This window comes from Homo sapiens, chromosome 12 (genome assembly GCF_000001405.40).
Source record: "Homo sapiens chromosome 12, GRCh38.p14 Primary Assembly".
Classification (NCBI taxonomy): Eukaryota; Metazoa; Chordata; class Mammalia; order Primates; family Hominidae; genus Homo; species Homo sapiens.
This window is the reverse complement of record NC_000012.12, coordinates 23,569,765-23,588,740: the sequence shown is the minus strand read 5'-3', so window position 1 is coordinate 23,588,740 and position 18,976 is coordinate 23,569,765. Positions and strand designations below refer to the sequence as shown.

At 34.0% G+C, this 18,976-nt stretch overlaps 1 protein-coding gene across 42 annotated transcripts in view, besides 1 other annotated feature; it reads left to right on the top strand.

The window, feature by feature from the left end:
• The window catches only part of SOX5 (SRY-box transcription factor 5), a 1,033,147-nt gene that overhangs the window by 973,910 nt on the left and 40,261 nt on the right, over positions 1-18,976 (top strand). For 38 of the 42 annotated variants that reach the window (XM_024449159.2, XM_024449158.2, XM_047429458.1 and 35 more), the window contains one exon: positions 12,903-13,080. The exons of 3 other annotated variants lie outside the window; for them this stretch is intronic. In XM_024449159.2, coding sequence (XP_024304927.1) covers positions 12,903-13,080 — 178 coding nt within the window. Of the gene's footprint in view, positions 1-4,154; positions 4,195-12,902; positions 13,081-18,976 lie in introns of those variants that run through there. One more of the 42 variants, NM_178010.4, reaches the window with a different exon arrangement.
• Positions 2,485-3,071: an enhancer, noted in NCBI's record as "OCT4-NANOG hESC enhancer chr12:23738604-23739190 (GRCh37/hg19 assembly coordinates)". NCBI's record gives its function as "activates a minimal SCP1, AML or CMV promoter by ChIP-STARR-seq in naive H9 embryonic stem cells {active_cell/tissue: H9 hESC(naive)}" and the evidence as "EXISTENCE:reporter gene assay evidence [ECO:0000049][PMID:30033119]".

The following is an 18,976-nucleotide window of genomic DNA, read 5'->3' as shown; positions in this document are numbered from 1 at the left end:
GTGTGTGTGTGTGTGTGTGCACTATCCCATACTACAATAATCAAGAATACAGATCAATTTTATCTGGCAATGTGATGGACCAAAGCAACATTCAAAATAAGATAAGCTCTAAGGCAAATATACTCATTTTGTCTCTTTAATTCTTTCTAAAAAGTATGATCAAAACTCTTGGGTAATGATGTCATTAGAGTTGCTATATAAAGTCTTTTATGGAATTCAGACTGTAAATTTATTATTCTTTTAATGTTATGGGCTGGGAAAAATTAAACGAGCATTACAGCTGAGTTTCACTACACATTAATTATTTTAATGGACTATTTCTTAAATGAATATCTGATAAATCAATCTTGCAATTCCTCATGCTTTATGACATGCTTGACACAGTATAGACACTTAAGAATCATTATTCTGTGAGAGCTTTGATACAAATCCAAAATCGTTATAATTAAGATCAAACTCTTACCTGATGCTCAGTTCTAAGCCTTTTCTCATCTTTATTTGAATTTTCTTTCACCCATACCTTGAATTTAATATTATAGTATCAATAGGCAGAATATATCATCAAGCTAAGCATCTTTAATATGTTGAGAAAAAATATTTTGTCTCCAGAGCATAACATAAAAACTGGCCTTAACTGACATTCTGTATAAATAGTCATCACCCCTTGGAATTCTTTAAAGACATCAGTTCTCTCCTGGTCACTGCCATGAAGACAAAGAATGCCTTAATGACTCTATTGAGGTTATCATTAAAATAAAGGAGATTTGCAGACATCAGCTATAAATCACTATAAAATGGCCGGTGGGTAACCTTTGACACAACTCATTTGAAATAAACCTGGGATGGATTCATAGCCTTTGGCCGAGCCAGTAAGTGGGCTAAAGGTCTTTTCCATCCTCTCCTTCACTTCTTTCAATATTAGTTCCTCTCCAAGTGACTGGAAAGGAATTGGATGTATATAAATTGACATGTGTATTAAGTTGAAGGCAAATAGGTCTATATAAATAATAGTGTTAAGGATGTTTATGGTGTTTATTCGAAATATGTATTCTTTTGATATAAATTTTAGGATTATGAATACATTTTGAATTTATCGTAGCTACTTTGTTAAAATACTTTATGATTTAGTGTCATAAAAATTTTGTGAGGGTCTCGACCAGTATTACTCAAATTGAACATTACAAGGTGCCTATCTATGGGATAGAAAAAATTCTTCAGAATTAAAAAGAAATTACATGATTGCAGTCTAATTTTTCAAAGAAATTATTTTTTAATGATTATTTTTCCTATTGGCATTTAAATAATAGAGAAGCAGCTTTGAAAAGTTGCCTAAGCTTACACCTTTATGACTTGGGTTCAAGTCTGAGGCTTCTTTAAGGTATGACTGTTAGCAAATTTTTGAGTATCTTCAACCTCCTTCTCTTTATCTGTGAAGTGGGGTTGATGATATCTCGTAATCTTTCTGTACGAATAAAATAAAATATATGGAGATGTTTTGTTACTTGTAAAATTTAGATGTCAAGGAGTAAATAGTATTAGAAAATCAGCCCTGAAAAGTGAAGAGCTATATAATAATTTAAGTTATTTTTAAAAGTTAGAAGTTTTTAGGTTATGAAACCCACTAAACATACTTTCATAGTTTTGTAATGTTTAACTTATTCTTCAAAATGTTTGTGTAACAAATAGTATATTGGGCTTTAAGTATTTATTTCTTCCTTAAAAACTAGCTCTCTCCATGACAAAATTACATTATAAAATCAGCATTTCTTTTGGTGTAGGGAGAAGTTCTCAGGTAAAAATATATAAAAAATATATAATATATAATATCTGTATTTAAATAGACCTATACTGTGCCTTTTATTTATTCACTAAGAGGTTAATTATGAGAGAAGAAAAAAGGAAAAAACACTTTAAGTCAATCATAAGTGACAAATAATTGCTTTGATGAATATGTTGAGGAGGGGAAATAATCTTTAGGTCATTTCTAGTAAAAATTCATCTAATCAAAAAAGCAAATTTTTGAGACTTAATCTTCCAACAACTCATGCCCTTGATATATTTTTGTAAGTTTTCAGACTCTTCAAGAAAAAAAAAAAAGTGGTCTAAGGATTCACAGAATAAGGAAATGATAACTTTATGAAAAGTTATAAAATTTAAACACCTAATATCCAGAATTCAAATCCAAGAATCAATCACTTTAGTGACAAATAATTCAATCTAAATAATCCGAACGAAATGAAATGCAAGAATTTTTTTTTCCCCGTAAAACTCTTCCTTCATGACATTGTTTTAGATTAATCATAATGATATTTATTTCACTATCGAAGTTTCCTAGTCACTTACATTGCCTTAAAATGTTTTCTCTTCTAGTGTATAGATTTCTTCTGTCTCATGACCTACCACTCTCTTGGGAATAGTGTTTGTGGAACAAATTAAAGAATTAACCTACCACTTGGGGGAAAAACAAGAGACAGGGGTAGATGGCACAACTGTTCTAATTTTGTGTTCATAAAGGAAAATTGCTAATTAAGTGGCCTTGTTGTCTTACTCGAGGTTCGTGATCTTGTGCTAAGGGGAACAAAAATGCAGACACATACACACGGAGTGGGTTTAAGAGCGTAAAGTTTAATAGGCAAAAGAAAGGAGGGAGAGAGAGAGCGCGCTTCCTCATGCAGAGGAAGGGGATGTTCAAGCGGATTTCTGGGTTTGGGGAGAGATGTGGTCCATTTTATAGAGGGGCTTAAGGAGGCCGTATTTGATTCACATAGGGCCCAGGAGATTGGATTGACCAGGTGTCAGGTGTGCCATTTACATAGCCCGTGAATCTTTTATTATGCAAATGGGGTTTACCTGGCCGTTGCCATGACACCCACACACGGGGGCGACAAAGAGAAGAGAGGAGATATCCTCCATGTTGAATGTACCTGGCTTCTGACATAGCTGCCGGCATTTACCTATGCAAACTTCTAGCTTGCTTATCTATGTTTGCAGCTTGATTTCTCAGGGTGCTTTTTGTTAGAAATGTTTTAGGGGCTGCTTTTTATTAAAGAAAAATTCCACTGAGAACTCCTTTAACCTCACTAACTGCCTAAATAATTTCTTACTAACTCCTATATCACTATTACTGTACTGCTCTTAACCTGAACAGTGGAACTCAGTCTAGGTTAAAGCAAGTGGAGTACGAGAAGTGAGTTTTGCATTTAAATTTTATTTTTACTTATTTTTGGACTTTTTACCTTTGTCTTCAATGACTGCCCCCTTTCCTCTATCTGTAATGAATGGAATGAAAAAAGTTGTAGTTTGGATGTACTGACCTAGTCAAGTCTCAAGTTACGTTAATAGGAGGAAGCCTGTGGCTAAATAGTTCCTGACAATGGCTTTGTTAGCAGACATCTCTGAGTAGAAAGCAGTGAGTCCCAGGGACATCAAACTTTCAACTCTTAAGAGGAAAGCAAGGGAGCAAAGTTCTGAAGACTGAGAAGAACTGAAATTCAAGTGGTGAGGAGAATTCATTACAAGAGATTTAAATATGGAGGGATACATTTTGGTAGTGCATATGTTCCTATTCTGTTATTCACAAGTCAAAATCACATTTGCTCGATGTGTATGTGCATTGTACGTAAACGTAAATAACCTTTGAAATGCTATATTAAAAACAATAGGAAAAACTTAGAATTTATCGAGTTAGTTATTGATTAATCTCCACTATCCATTAACATTTAGTAGTTAATAGTATCTAGTAAATTTTTTTCTATTCAAGGTATATGTGGGTGTAAAGAGAGTACTCAGATCACTTTAAAAATGAAAATTGTCTTAAACTGTTTGAAATTTGATTATTTAGCCACGAGATGTTCAAGAAAACAACACAATAAAATGAAATACAGTGATATGAATGCTACACTCAGTAACACTAGGGTGCTGCCTTAGGCTTCCCTAGCCTTTTCTTGCTTAGTGTCTCATTCTAATGTTTAATCCATTAAACACACACACATACACACACACACACACACTCACACCTGTCCTTCTCCAAGGTTCTGTGCCTTAGACAATTTGGCCTTCACTCATCTCCCAAATATAAACCAATGCATGGTTTATATCAGTTAACTGTCGTAACTGTCATTACTCATTAAACAGTCAGTTATAGTGGGTTCACCAGACTGTTGGAGATTTGTGCCATAGGAGCTGTGCATGCATGTATGTGAGCACTGGGAATGACTCTTTGATGTAATTAATTGGAGCTCGTAATAAATGACTTATGCATAATGATGCTTTCTATGATTTCTCCCACTCTGCCAGGTTGTTATCTAAAGATGGCCTATCTGCGTATAACCAGACCAAACTTTTCAAAGATCTGAGAAAACATAAATCTCTCAGAGAGCCATAGATATATTTTTAAAAAGGAATTTTGGAGCCCTCTGGGAGTCCTTCAAAGTATTTCATTTTGTTTTGTTTCAGGTTCATCAGTGTTTCATTAATATTTTCATCAGTGGTTTTTTCCCCCCGTCAATGGGCTATCCGTGCCTTCATGTGGTATTTTTACTTCTCTTTTATATGACTCCAGTGGATCAAACCTTCTACCACTGATTTGCTTTGATGATGATGTGTTGTTGTGCTTTCCTTTTGATAGTAATTCCTTTTGTAGATTCCAGTAGAGATGCTGATGTGCTCATTTTGTACATTTAGGTTCAGGTGGAAGTACCATTTCCAACATAGAGATGATAGTAGAATTTGATCAGCATGACTTCTATTTCTTTGTTTTATAAAGTCGTATTGCTCTGTGAGCTCCTGTTTTACTTTTTTTGTTAATCTATTCCATCATTAAACAGTTGTGTAGTTCTTGGCTTATGTTTGTATACAAATCTTCCAGTGGAACTAACAGGAAAGCAACAATGACAAATGCTTTGTAATTATAAATTTAAGGACTTATCAGGTGGTGTCAAAAACACATTACATTTTCTTGTTCAAGGAGTGATCAACTCTTTAATTTCTCTAAAGCATTTTTAAAAGCTTTTGGAGATTTACATTTAGAGGTTAAAAAGAGGAACTGGTGTGATTATTAACATCAATTCTTACTGCTCTATGCTTCCTTTTAGCCTCTTGGTAGAAGAACTGTTAATCATTTTAAAAGATAACAGCAATCATCCAGCCGTAATGAACACTATAGGACAAAATAACCATTATTATTAGGAATTTGAAGTTGTCTGGGGACCAGAGGTTAAACAAAGTTGAATTGGAAACACCATACATTTCCTACTGGCTCATGTTATAACTGTTCTCATCACACATTATTGTTGACACGAGTATTCCTCGCATTCTTCCTCTTTTCAAGAATAGTTAGAAAAGCTTACTCTGTGGAATTTCTATGAGTGGGTTTTCATGTGATATTGTGGGTTAAAGGTCTTCCAATATGACATTCTTCTTGGTAAATATATGGAAACTGTATTTATACAGTATATTTATAGGACATTTTGGAAATAAAAAGTAAGATTAGATAGAGAGTTAATCTAAAATGAAAAATTCAAAAGCTAAATTAGAGATCTTAAAGGGAAAGGAGAATAAAGATTAAAAGAGAAGGAAGGAAAATGTAAAAAGGAATGGTGTGGCACTATTTGGATTAATTCAAGGCAATTTTTGAAATTAAAAAGTGAATGTGAAGTATAGTTGATATTTCAGAAGCCAAACTATTCTTTATTTGTTTTCAAATATATGTGTGTGCTTGCGTGTATAATTTACAGCATCGAGGCATTAATTCAACAAAGTCGGAAAACAAGGAAAATATTAAGATACTAAGGGAAAATGAGCAGGGGGCATTTTAAACAGCAAATAAAATGATGGGTACTCTTTGAATACCTTTAAATTAATTAAGGGCCAGCAAATTAAATGTAAAGAAACATGTAATTACCACATTGAAGAACATGTCCCCAACCACACTACTAGCATCTACTTTTAAAAGAAGCAGGTATACATTAAGCAAAAGTGTAAAATGGCAAATAAGGAAGCCAAATGAGATGCTAGAACATATTACCCTCAGCTAAATAAGACTTACATTTAAATGGCCATCAAGTCTAATGGTAGCATTAACACAGCAAAAGCATACCTATCAAAGAATTCCTGGAGCTCTTTCTGCCTGATTAACAAGGCATTTTGCAATTTGTAAGTCTAAAAGTAAGCAACTGATCATGAAAAGGGGTTTCAAGACTATGTGCTATGTAAGATGATAGACTTGATTTTTAGGAACCTACTAATAAGGAGTTGGGATGGCTACGCGAGTAGGATTATTAATTCCTTGAAGACTAAGAAAATAATTTTAAGATTGTTGCAATTATTTTTATCTTAGGTTACTTTGACTCTTGCACGTAAATATAAACCTTTTCTCCTTTAAGTTCTGCTCAGCAGGTACACTTCCATCTCTTTATAGATCCTCATGATACTTGTTTGTTTTGTTTCTTCTAGTAAACCTCTATGGAGCTGTAGTGAAGAAATGCCTTATTTGGGTAGGAGAGGTGAAAGAGGGCTCCCACAGTCCATAGAGGTAGAAGACGAAAGAGAAAGGATGAGTGCTGCACACAAGCTAGGGAAGAGGTGCGGCAACAGTGCACATTATGCAATTCAGGCTGTCATGTAACTTCCCTACTTAGGTTAATACGATCATTTCATCAGAGAGGATAATAGCAGCAGCATGATTAATTTTGCAACATGTTTCATGAATGCCTTTACTCATCCCCATATGGTATTACTGCTACTTATTTCACATGAGTATTTATGATAAACATGGGGACAATCACAGTTTTCAAATCATGCAGAGGAAGAAGCCTGAAATTTTATTTATACATATATATATATATATTTTTTCAATCATTGTGTGGCTGTTGAAGAATCAAAGTGTTTTTATAAATGAAACATTATATTGAGTATAAAGACAAACTGTTCTCAAAGGAGTTTAAAAACACACACACACTTCCACTTAAATCTATACCTAGGTTTTAAATAAAAAGTAAATGGACTTCTTTTCTTTATTACTGATCACATAAAACCAAAGCCTCAAAGCTACATGCCTAAATGTCCTTTGGTTTATGTTTTTCTAATGCCTGGCATATAATAGCCATTAATAAATAGCTGAAATACCATTAGATAAATAAGATATGGATGAATGTATGGATGATTGGATAAATGCATCTGTTCTTATCTGTTGCCTTTAGACTGGTATAAATATGTTAACTGCCAAATAAATTTTGATTTTCAATCATTAATTTAGGTAAATATTTGAGGAAGTGCAATTTTGAGATACCTGTGATATGGAATGAACCAAATCATCAATTAGATAAAATGAGAATGAATAAAGATGTGAATAAAGATGTAAATAAAGATGAAATTTATATTCTGAAGGGTTTAATCATTTGCACGTCCTTGGTAGTGCATTTTGTGGTCTAGCAACCTACATGTGGGTATATTTCCATGTTGTGAGGATAAGAATAGAGAAACAGAAACAAATAGAATTCTCCAGGATGATTGGATCTCTGTTATCTAGTTCTCTATTAAAACTCCTTAACAAAGACTTGAAAAGCTAAGGAGTGGGGAGAGAGAAATAACACCCCAGGATTGCTAAGAATGCTTTTTGTTTGTTAAATTATGTTTGATTTCTCTAAATCATTTGGTATTTGTACATTATAAAATTATGACTATTATACAATTATGTTACAGTAACATATTTTCTTCTAGGATAAATTGTTATTTGAAAACCAACTAAATGAAATATATTGTAACTTTATATATTTATTTTATAGTGTTTGTAAAGTTTATGTGGAATAAGTTTATGGTGACAATTGGTATTCCCTCAGTGCGTCTAAGGCTACATATTTGTTTCACATTCTTTATGCAATGGTTTTTTAATCTGTTGCAAATTTTCATTGGCTGGGATTAACTGATTAAGGCCTCTATAGTGTTTCTACTACTGTGACCACAAACTGGTATTGAGATGTTAGCTTTCAGACAAGTTATCGTAGCTATAATTATGTAAATGGAACATCCCAGACCTATATGTTTATTTGGATTTTACTTACTTTGCATTCTATCCCAGAAAACTACAATTAGCCCAGTAATTGATTAGAAGAAGTTATATCATGAGTGAGCTTCTAAGACTTGTATTTGATTATATAAAATATTATTTTCTTGTACCATGTGTACATGAACTCTTGGGATTTTTCTAAAAGAATAGTCCAAACCACTCTTTAGCATTAAAGGAAATTTTCAATGCTATATAGCATAGAGGTCAGAGAAGCACAAAAAAAGTCACCAAGATAAGTGAATTTGCGCCTTAACTTTTTAATGTATAGAATAGCAAATGTTTGTATTACATCATTTTATTGCACATATATTATCTTTCATGTGGTTATTGTGTAACAGAATTATATAGTTAGGACTGAATTTCAGAAGTTATATTCCATCAGTGCCTTTTTAAATTTAAGATTAAATTTGTCACAGAAATTAAAAGAGTATTGTATGTTGAGTCCAAAAACCTGGGTTTCATTAGAACTTTCTAAGCCTTACTTTCCACCACAAGATTTGTAATTACTTCATAGTCGTGAAGATTAAATAAACTCTTTGGAATACTTATAATGAACCCTATAAATGTAAATTATAGCCTTCTACTAGTTAAAATTTGTTTAGCTTACACATTTACTTAAACATAAATGCTTATTTTATATTTATGATATACAAGTTTGGAGCTACTAGGCAGATAACTAAATTCTTAACTCTTACTTTGTGTATAAATGAAATAATTATGAAATATGTTATTTTCAAAAGTTCCAATTGGCAACCTCATTTAACAATTAGGCAAGTAATTAACAGGAAATTGCTTTGCTCACTGCTTGATGGTGTAGTTGATAGAAATAGTATCTTTTTCAATTATTTTTGACCTTGAAAATTACTCATATCCTTTTATTTGTAAGTAATTTATTTAACATGTTTAAATGTGTGTTTTATTTGTAACAATAGGAGTTAATCATGTTAAGCTTTTGAATTTCTCCTACATAAAATTACAAGTAAAAAACAAAGTAAGAGAAGTCTTACCTTCAGCTTTTATTGCACATATTCATATTATAAGAATGCATGCCAGAAATAAATTGTCCATGTCCATTTTATAGTTAAGATTTTTAAATTTTCATCTAGTCAAATGAAAAATAATTAATAGAAAATGGGAAACTAGTGTAATTTTTGTATTCTTCATAAATAATAGGCATTTGGTATAGCAGCTCAGTAGTAAATTATTAAAAGAACAAAATTGCGAAATAATATCATATAATGGGTCAAAATTATTTATACAGTTACCAGTATAAAGATCAAGAATGTGAGTTCTTATTAATATACCATTAGCCTGGTCACACAATGGAAGAGAAGGAAAGGGCAATTTTGAATGACATTTATATCAACTTTGGAACTGTCAACCTCTGTTATGTCCTTGGGGCCTTGCACTTTTTGGCTTTCAGACATCTGTGCTGCCTTGAATGTAGGTGAATACTAAGAGTTTCAGTGGGTCTCTTGCTCTAATAAATGCTTTGAATAGTTATCTTTCAGCATGGGCATGTAATAGTTATTAGTGCTTAAAGCTAAGACATATGACACTTCATCCCATGAGCACCCACATCCACATCATCTTCATCAATACCGCCATTCCCCCCTCACTATACACTCACACTGTGTTTCCTCTGTGCTCATAAATATCTTCCCTGTTCCAACTCTGGGAATACAGTCTTTTCTCTTTGCTTTCTTTTTCTTTGCTTTGCTTTGCTTTGCTTTGTTTTGTTTCTTTTTCTTCTCTTCACATTCAAGTAAAACAGCCATCTTTGATCCAAGCATCTCCCAAAACTTTTGCAAGAGTTATGATGATGTCAAAAAGAAGTTCTAAAGGCATCATGACAGAAGTCAGTTTCACACAGAAGGTAGTAAACAGGTAGTATATTGCTAGGGGAAAACAGTGCCTGGAATATTTACAGCTGGGTAGTAAATAGTAAAGTCCCTGACAGTCAGGACATTTAGGCTTAATTGACCAAGAGTAGATCTGGATTCTAATCTTTATTTTCTCATGGAATCTCAGTAACATTCAATTTATTATGCATATGAGTGTTTCCATTATTAGCATGTGATATGTCCCAATTATATTTTAAACACTGAGGTAATATTACATATTTTTAAATGTTATCTTCTTATACAGAAGAAGCTTTTTAAAGGCTTTTGGAAGTCTAATAAAACTTTTTCAATAGTCCCCCTTTATTTTAATATACGAGGCAGTGGCTCTTACACTTGAGTGTGCATCAGAATCACCTGGGAATGAAGGCTTGTTAAACACAGGTTGCTGGGACCCATCCCCATAGTTTCTATGATAGAGAATTTGCCTTTCTAACAAGTTCCCAGGTGTGCTTATGGTGCTAGTCTGTGAGCCACATGTTGAGAAGTATTCATTCATACTAGATTAAAATGTGAGGACACAATACTTCCATATTGCTGCCAATTATGACATCATATATATAGATTATGGTTGAACAGGTCATGTTTCAGATTGAACAATTAGGGATAATATTGCCCCTATAGTTTTTTTTTTTTTTTTTTTTTTTTTTTTTTTTTGACACAGTCTCACTCTGTTGCGCAGGCTGGAGTGCAGTGGCACGATCTAACTCACTGCAGCCTCCGCCTCCCGGGTTCAGGTGATTCTCCTGCCTTAGCCTCCTGAGTAGCTGAGACTACAGGTGCATGCCACCATGCTCAGCTAATTTTTTGTATTTTTAGTAGAAACAAAGTTTCACCGTGTTGGCCAGGATAGTCTCAATCTCCTGACCTCATGATCTGCCTGACTTGGCCTCCCAAAGTGCTGGGATTACAGGTGTGAGCCACTGCACCCAGCCATTGCCCCTATAGTTTTTAAAATGCTAAAGTAAACTTCTCCAAATTAAATGTTGCATCAGTGATGGAATTATTTCACTTCCTGTCAAGATCTTATGAATCAATATAGATTTGGTATAATAGTCTTTAATTTCTTACTTATCTGACATCATAGAAGATTGCTAATTTGAATTGTCTCATGAATTTTCAATTTTTTTTTTCTGAAACAGACAATATAAACTGAAATAAGATCTATTACAAAGGTAACTTTTTCCTAGTCTGTTCATGGGATTCTTAAGTGCACATAACCACAGAATCAAATAATAATCTAATAATATTAAGCCACTTAAAAATATAGACTTGAGGCCAGGCGCCATGGCTCATGCCTGTAATCCCAGCACTTTGGGAGGCCAACGCAGGCAGATCACTTGAGGTCAGGAGTTCAAGACTAGCTGGCCAACATGGTGAAACCCTGTCTCTACTAAAAATACAAAAATTAGCCGGACGTGGTGGTGTGCACCACGTAGTAGTGTCCCAGCTACTCAGGAGGCTGAGGCAGGAGAATCACTTGAAGTGGCAGGCGGAGATCACGATGAGCCGAGATTGCACCACTGCACTCCAGCCTGGGCAACAGAGCAAGACTCCATCTCAAAAAAAAAAAAAAAAAAAAATATATATATATATATGTGTGTGTGTGTGTGTGTGTGTGTGTATATATATATATAAACTTGATATCGATGTCATATTTTACCATTTAACCATTTCATAAAATGATTTATTTCAGTGGTTCTTTTGGTAGGACTGTGCATTAAATTTTTGTATACAGTAATTAACATATACTTTAATGTCACCTGACTACCCCATTTGATTAAAAATTTTTCTACTTTCAACAAATCCTGTTATTGGTAAATATTTTATGTTCTTAACTCGTGAAATAGCTACGTGGAAACTAAATTTTTATTCTACAATAATATTAATGTAAAATTAGATATATTGTAAACGTTGATAAATAAACAAGTGGTAAGATATTCCAATTTTAGAGCACACGAAAGGAACAAAATAACTTTTTCAATTTCCAATTTAAAAAGTGATATAATGTTAATATTATCTCATTCTTATATTCTTATATGATGTAATATAAATTTTAATGATACTGTATCTATAAGTCTCATGTATGAAATTACCTAAGAGAACGATTTAAAATTGAGTATAAACTGTGTTTTGACCTGTCAAACCATAGAACAGCTGGAAATCATCAACCATGCTGAACTGATCACATGATCTTCGTGACACATATAGTATAAGAGAAACCAGGTACTGAAAGAGAAACCTAGAAAACACATCTGGATTTTGAAAACATGGTGTTTGTTTAGTGTTTAGAACAGTATGACATATAAATAAGTTGCACATAGTAGGGTGATGTTAATTATGTTTATTTTCATTTTTAGATCAAATTCAAAGGTGTTTCTGTGAAACCTAGGGAGAAAGGATTATTTTCTAAGAAAGCTAGAAATTTTCTTGTGTGTGCGTGTTGAATTTGGAGAGCAGTTCTGATCAGAGGCACACAACTATCTGTGGTCCTCCATCATGGGTGTTCCAGGTGCTCTGCCTAGGTACCAGGGTACAAAGATGCATCAGATCCAACCCCTTTTCTTTGGAGATTAAAAAAAAAACCTACCTACATCATATTTCAGATTTAATGTGTAATATCTCTCAATACAAATGAATATAGCACAAAGAGTAGCTTTTTAAGAATATTTCTTACAGGTTACAAAAATTATCTGCTTTCTGTGGGTAGTTGAGTACACATGTACTTTCTCTTATACAAAAGGTATTTTGAATGTATAGTTGAAGGAGGCATTATGTTGACAGCTAAGCAAATGCTGTAATGTTCAGAATGAATGTTAAGATCACTGATTGGTAGAGTAATTTGATGGGAAATGACAGGCTGCATACCTGTGTTTTTCTAGGCATTTTTTATCAGCCTTTCCTTATCACAGCTCATGTTCTAATGATCATTGCAGGATGAAGTGGCACAGCCACTGAACCTATCAGCTAAACCCAAGACCTCTGATGGCAAATCACCCACATCACCCACCTCTCCCCATATGCCAGCTCTGAGAATAAACAGTGGGGCAGGCCCCCTCAAAGCCTCTGTCCCAGCAGCGTTAGCTAGTCCTTCAGCCAGAGTTAGCACAATAGGTAAGTTCTGTTTCTTTTGTTCTTGCTGATTTTCTGTTTATGGCTATTGAATGGAATCATCTTTAAATGGCACATCACACCCACTCTATACACGGCTTGAATTCTATAGGACAGCTTCAATTTGAGGAACCACCTAGGTCCGTTTTAAACATGTAAATGAAATTTCTCACTAAAGTCTAAGTTATAATGCCCTCCTGAAAATCTAATTGTGTAGGTTATATCTATATTTCTAACTATGTCCATACAATATAAAAAGAGGACTAAGTGACTAATCGCAGTGAGCAATGATGGTTCCAGAATGTTATTGTTAGGTGACTTACTTTTTGCATCACTGAAATTTCCATTTTTTTTGTGAATTGCACAAAGTATACATTATGATGAAATGCATTTTGCCTCTATCATCAATCAACCATAAGGATGTGAAGTTTGTTCAGTTTCGTTCTGTTTGAGGATTACTTGCAAACACCAAAGTATTATAAAGAGTGGATAGCTTCAATTCTATATAATTGTAAATTCAGTAGCATAAACAAAATAGTAGAAAACACTTCTATAAGCTGACTTTGAAAAAGTCAATGATTTTAATTTCAGCATACATAAATCAGACTGCAGATACTGATTTCAACACAGGTTTATTGATATTTGTATTATTTTTATTCAATTTTTAAGGAGGCCAGCCCTCAAGGAGCTCATGGTTTAGTTAAGGGAGAGTCATTCATTCTATGGTATAAGTCAGCTATAATAAGCGCTGTTGCAGAGCACAGATAAAGTTCTACAAAGAGAGGAGAGTGTTGGATTCTGTCTGGGAAGGACTACAGAAAAGTATGAGTTAGATATATCCTAATTCAAACTGAGCCTTGAAGAAGAGATAGATTCCTAGGCATTCTAGGCAGTAAGAAAAAAATCACAAAGTGAAATAGCATATTTTTGAGAAATGCACTGATTTGTCTAGATTGTAGAAAAAAATGTGTGGTGGAAAGTGATCAGAGCTAAAACTGAAAGGATCAGATGGCAGAATGATGTTGGAATTCAGGAAACCATTGTTTACATGTAGGACAAGAATAAGTTACATGAGATACAAATAAACAATGATAAAGGAGAGAATGGATTAAAAAGATTAATCAAGGAAGAATTGACATAATTCAGTCACAATAGAATGTATCTGGTAAAGGTCAAGTTGTAGACAGGAAACTAGAATTTTGAATTTATGAAATAACAAGGATTATTATGCCTCTATTAACAATGAAAGGGGAGCCCAGAATTGGAGCAGGTTTGGGAGAAGAAATAAAAATGTAATATGTGTTGAATTTGCAGCACAAGGAACTATCTAGGTAGAGGTGTTCAGGAAGAAGCTGGAAATACGAGCCTCATCGGTAAAAGATGTGCTAGAATTTTAGATATGGAAATTATTCCATGATGAGGTGGTTGAACTCAGGAGAGCAAATAAGTCCACCAAAAAAGGCTGTGTGTGGTAAGAAAAGAAGTGGAGTGAAGAATCATAGGTATTGCATTAGATACTAATAGATAAATAACTAATATTAATACTATAATATAGATAACTAATGTATTATTTATTGCTGTGTAACAGATTAACCTAAAACTTAGCAGCTGGTATTGCATTAGATACTAATAGATAGATAACTGATATTAATATTATAATATAGATAACTAATATATTATTTATTGCTGTGTAACAAATTAACCTAAAACTTAGAAGTAGAAAACAACCAATATTTACTGTCTCATTTATTATTATTTATTGTTTAACATTTATTATTATCTGTTTTCTGGTGGTCTCGGTTCTTTGCCACATAGGCCTGTCCCTAGGGCTGCTTGTAGCATGACAGTGAACCTTCCTGAATGAGTGATCCAAGGGAAGAACAAAGAAAAAGGCACAGTTTATATCACGAAATAACCTGTTCTCCAAGTTCATCCAGAGGCAATTCTGCTTTATTCTGTTTCTTATAAGAGAATCATTAAGTCCAGCCCAACTCAAGGCAAGGAGAATTAGGCTCCAACTGAAGTAGAGAGTATAAAAGTATCTTTGAACATATTTTAGAACAACTACACTTTTTTTAGATGCAAAACTGATGAAGAGTAAGTTGAGTGTCTTAGAATAAGAATGAAGAGCAAGTGGGTATTTTAGAATAAGAGTGAAGACAGGGTAATGTCATACTAGCCTAGGAAAACGAAGTTTCAAAAAAGAGGGATTATTTAATAGTGCACCTTCTGCAGGACAATTAAAGAACATGAAGAATAAGAGCCTTAGGATTTGGAGTTCATGGACAGGTAGACTGACAGAGAAGTTTTAATGAATGGTTTGAATAGATTTCCAGTTATACAGAGCGGAAGAATATGAAGAAATAAAGTTAATTTGGTGATATAAACTCATCTTTTTCTAAGTTTGGTGTTGGGAAGTGATAATAGTTTGAGAAGGCTAAGTAGAGACAGGTTTTAAAATAGGAATATGTATATTACTCTTCAAGGGGGGAGAGGAAGAAGAGTTAGAGACATGTATAGATATGAAAAAGTGCAAAAGACATGTATAGATATGAAAAGTGATGGGAAGGGATTAACCCTTGTAAAGGAGAAAAACTTTTCTTCTTCCTGAGACTGAAGGAAAGGAAGAGATAAATGGTAACATTTCAGAGAAATTTTGGAATGATCAGAATGAAGTCTGAAGGAGTGTGTATCAAATGCTTTAATCTCCACAAAGAAGAATTCCAGATTATTTGTTAAGAGGAATTCAGTCTGGGCAGTGGGGCCACAGTGAAAAGAGGAACAGTGAAAACTGAAGCTTTGAGAAGTTTGAAAAAGGTTTCAGACACATGTGTGCTTTTTCATCTTATAGTCTAACTCCAGTTACTCTGCTCAGCATCCTAAATGAGCTCCAAGATTAGATTTACTTTCATGTACTATGTAAAAGAAAAAATATTTTATTTGGCAAGAATCATTCACTATCATAATATACATGTAGGCTTATAAATGTCATAGTGTTAGTACATGAGCAACTTTTGTGATGTTGTTAGAACTGGAATATGTGACTAGTAGAATAACTAATATGTTTTTATTTGTATCATGTATGAATATTTTTTCTTTAGCATTCCCAAAGATTAAGCATGGGAAAGTATTTTAGAAAGGCAAGAACATACTTAACGTCATTTATCATGACTTTCCCCACTACTAAAACATCTCTTTTTTTTTTTTCTGAAAAGTCCTTTCACCACATACACATCCCTCATAATTTCCAAGGATTTAAGTCTACTACAATTTACTTTTCTCTTTTCAACAAATGCAGATGTTGAAAGCTGAAACTTTAATGAGTAATAATGTAGTTGGATAAAAGCTGTGAGGATTAATGGTGTTGTAAAGGTCACTCCTGAAAGAAGAATTAATGTGTGATGCCATTATTAAACCACAGAAGACTGTGGACTGAAAGATGACTTAAGTTATCGTTAATCACATGGGGCTCTTTGCTATATATCTATTAGCTACAAATATAGAAAGTGACTTTTTGAGGTTGGTGACCAATATTACAGTGTATTCTATAAGAATGCTTTTGATATGGTACGCAAATGATAGGCAGCTCCAAAGGAAGGAGATCCTTAAAAGGTATGAATAGTTCAGAAGAATGATGGATAATTTTAGAATCTTTTGACCAGATGTTATCTTTCCCTTATTGGCTTTTTCCACCTATATCGAACATATGTATAGCACTTTTAACTTTTTTTTCAAAGCAGTTTTTTCATCTATTTTCTCACTGCAGCTGTTCTACAATTATAGACCCTTAACTAGATGGAGTAGATATCCATATAATCTAGTCAAAGCTTGTTATTTAGCAGATAGGGAACACAGACCTAAAGAGCCTGTGTGTCTACCTAGGGATTTGAAGTAATTTTTTGTCAGAGCGTAGACAGTTCTATGATTCTATATTTATTACCTCAGCTTTAATTTTAAGGAAATAAATGTACATAAAAATCTAGTAACTTATCCAGACTTAGAGCCAATGGATTTTGGAGCCTTATAACCATGATCTATTGGTTGGTGTTCATTCTTTTTAGTTGTTGCCTTTTGGTAGCCACTCTGCATTAGATGCTCTTCTCGGCCATTTATCATTTTACTCATCCATACAATAAATGAGATTTAAATACTCTTCCTTTGCCATACGTTTTGCTTAGTCTGGAGGATAAGCAGACAACAGCCTTTGACTGAGACTTTAGGTGCCTACAGTCTTTTTCCTAGCATATCTTTGGGACATATTGGAATGTACTGTTCTTAGCCTTCATTCCTCAGAGGCATTAACGCATGAAAACTAAAACTATACCTGAGCAAATGTAGTAAATGCAAATTGACCCAGTAAAACAAAGGGCAATATTTCCAAGTCCATTAATTGGCTACTTGAGTTGTACAACATGCCAGGTTAAGACACGATGACTTAAAGGAGGATATTATTTTGAAAGTTTGTTAGTTTACATTTTTATTTTATTTATTTATTATTATTATTATTATTTGAGACAGGAACTTACTCTTTCTGTTGTCCCGGCTGGAGTGTGGTGGCTGGAGTGTAGTGGTTGGCTCACTGCAACCTCCACCTCCTGGACTCAAATGATCCTCCCACCTGAGCCTCCCAAGTAGCTAGGACTACAGGCATGTACCACCAAAAATACAAAAATATGAAAATATATATATATATATATATATATATATATATATATATATATATATATATATATTTTTTTTTTTTTTTTTTTTTGAGTTGGAGTCTTGCTCTGTAGCCCAGGCTGGAGTGCAGTGGCGCAATCTTGGCTCACTGCAAGCTCCGCCTCCTGGGTTCACGCCATTCCCCTGTCTCAGCCTCCAGAGTAGCTGGGACTATAGGCACCTGCCACCACGCCCGGCTAATTTTTTTGAATTTTTATTAGGGACAGGGCTTCACCATGTTATCCAGGATGGTCTCGATCTCCTGACCTCGTGATCCGCCTGCCTGGGCCTCCCAAAGTGCTGGGATTACAGGTGTGAGCCACCACACCCGACCAATTTTTGTATTTTTTTAGAGATGGGTTTTCTCATGTTGTCCAGTCTGGCCTCATACTCCTGGACTCAAGGGATTCGCCCACGTCAGCCCCCCAAAGTGCTGGGATTACAGGTATGAGTCACCATGCCCAGGTTTTTAATAAGCAAAATTTATACAAGGGTTTTAATGAGAAAAACCTTGTTTGCAGGAAGGTGATTGAAGGAATGAACAAGAATATTGTGATGCATGGAAAGCCATTGGATTATCAGGAAGTTGTAGATATCATTCAAAGACATCTGACAATTAACATTTGCATAACACTTTACAGTTTGCAAACTGCTTTCACATGTATTATCTAATTCCGGTGAGCTTTCACAGATAAAAAAATTGTCTACCTATCAGGGTGTCAAAAATGTAATGCTGATCAATGACCACAAAAATAGAAAAAAATATATTTGTTGAAAATCACTGGAAACAAATATGCCATTACTTTTACTTACAACTCCTATATAAAATAAATACGTAGTAAATAAGATTTGTGTGGCACTAATATCATCTGTTAAATTCATGAATTTTAATAAACCTGTACCATATGGTCCAGGCTTCTATTGATAAGAAGACAGAAATTATCAATAGATTTGGAATTATCAAGGCAGATACTTTCAACTTAGAATGTGCATTTATTTCTTCAACAGATCCTGCCCTGGGCCAAAGGAATAATAGATTGTACTAAAAAATGCTAAGTAGTCCATAGACCACTATGAAAGACAAATGCAAGACAATAGGACACTAAAAACATTCACAAGGTTTTGAAGGAACACATGTGTGGGAAGTACTCATCTTGTCAAAGAACATGTGTAGGGTATGTAAGAGAAGTTCTCACAG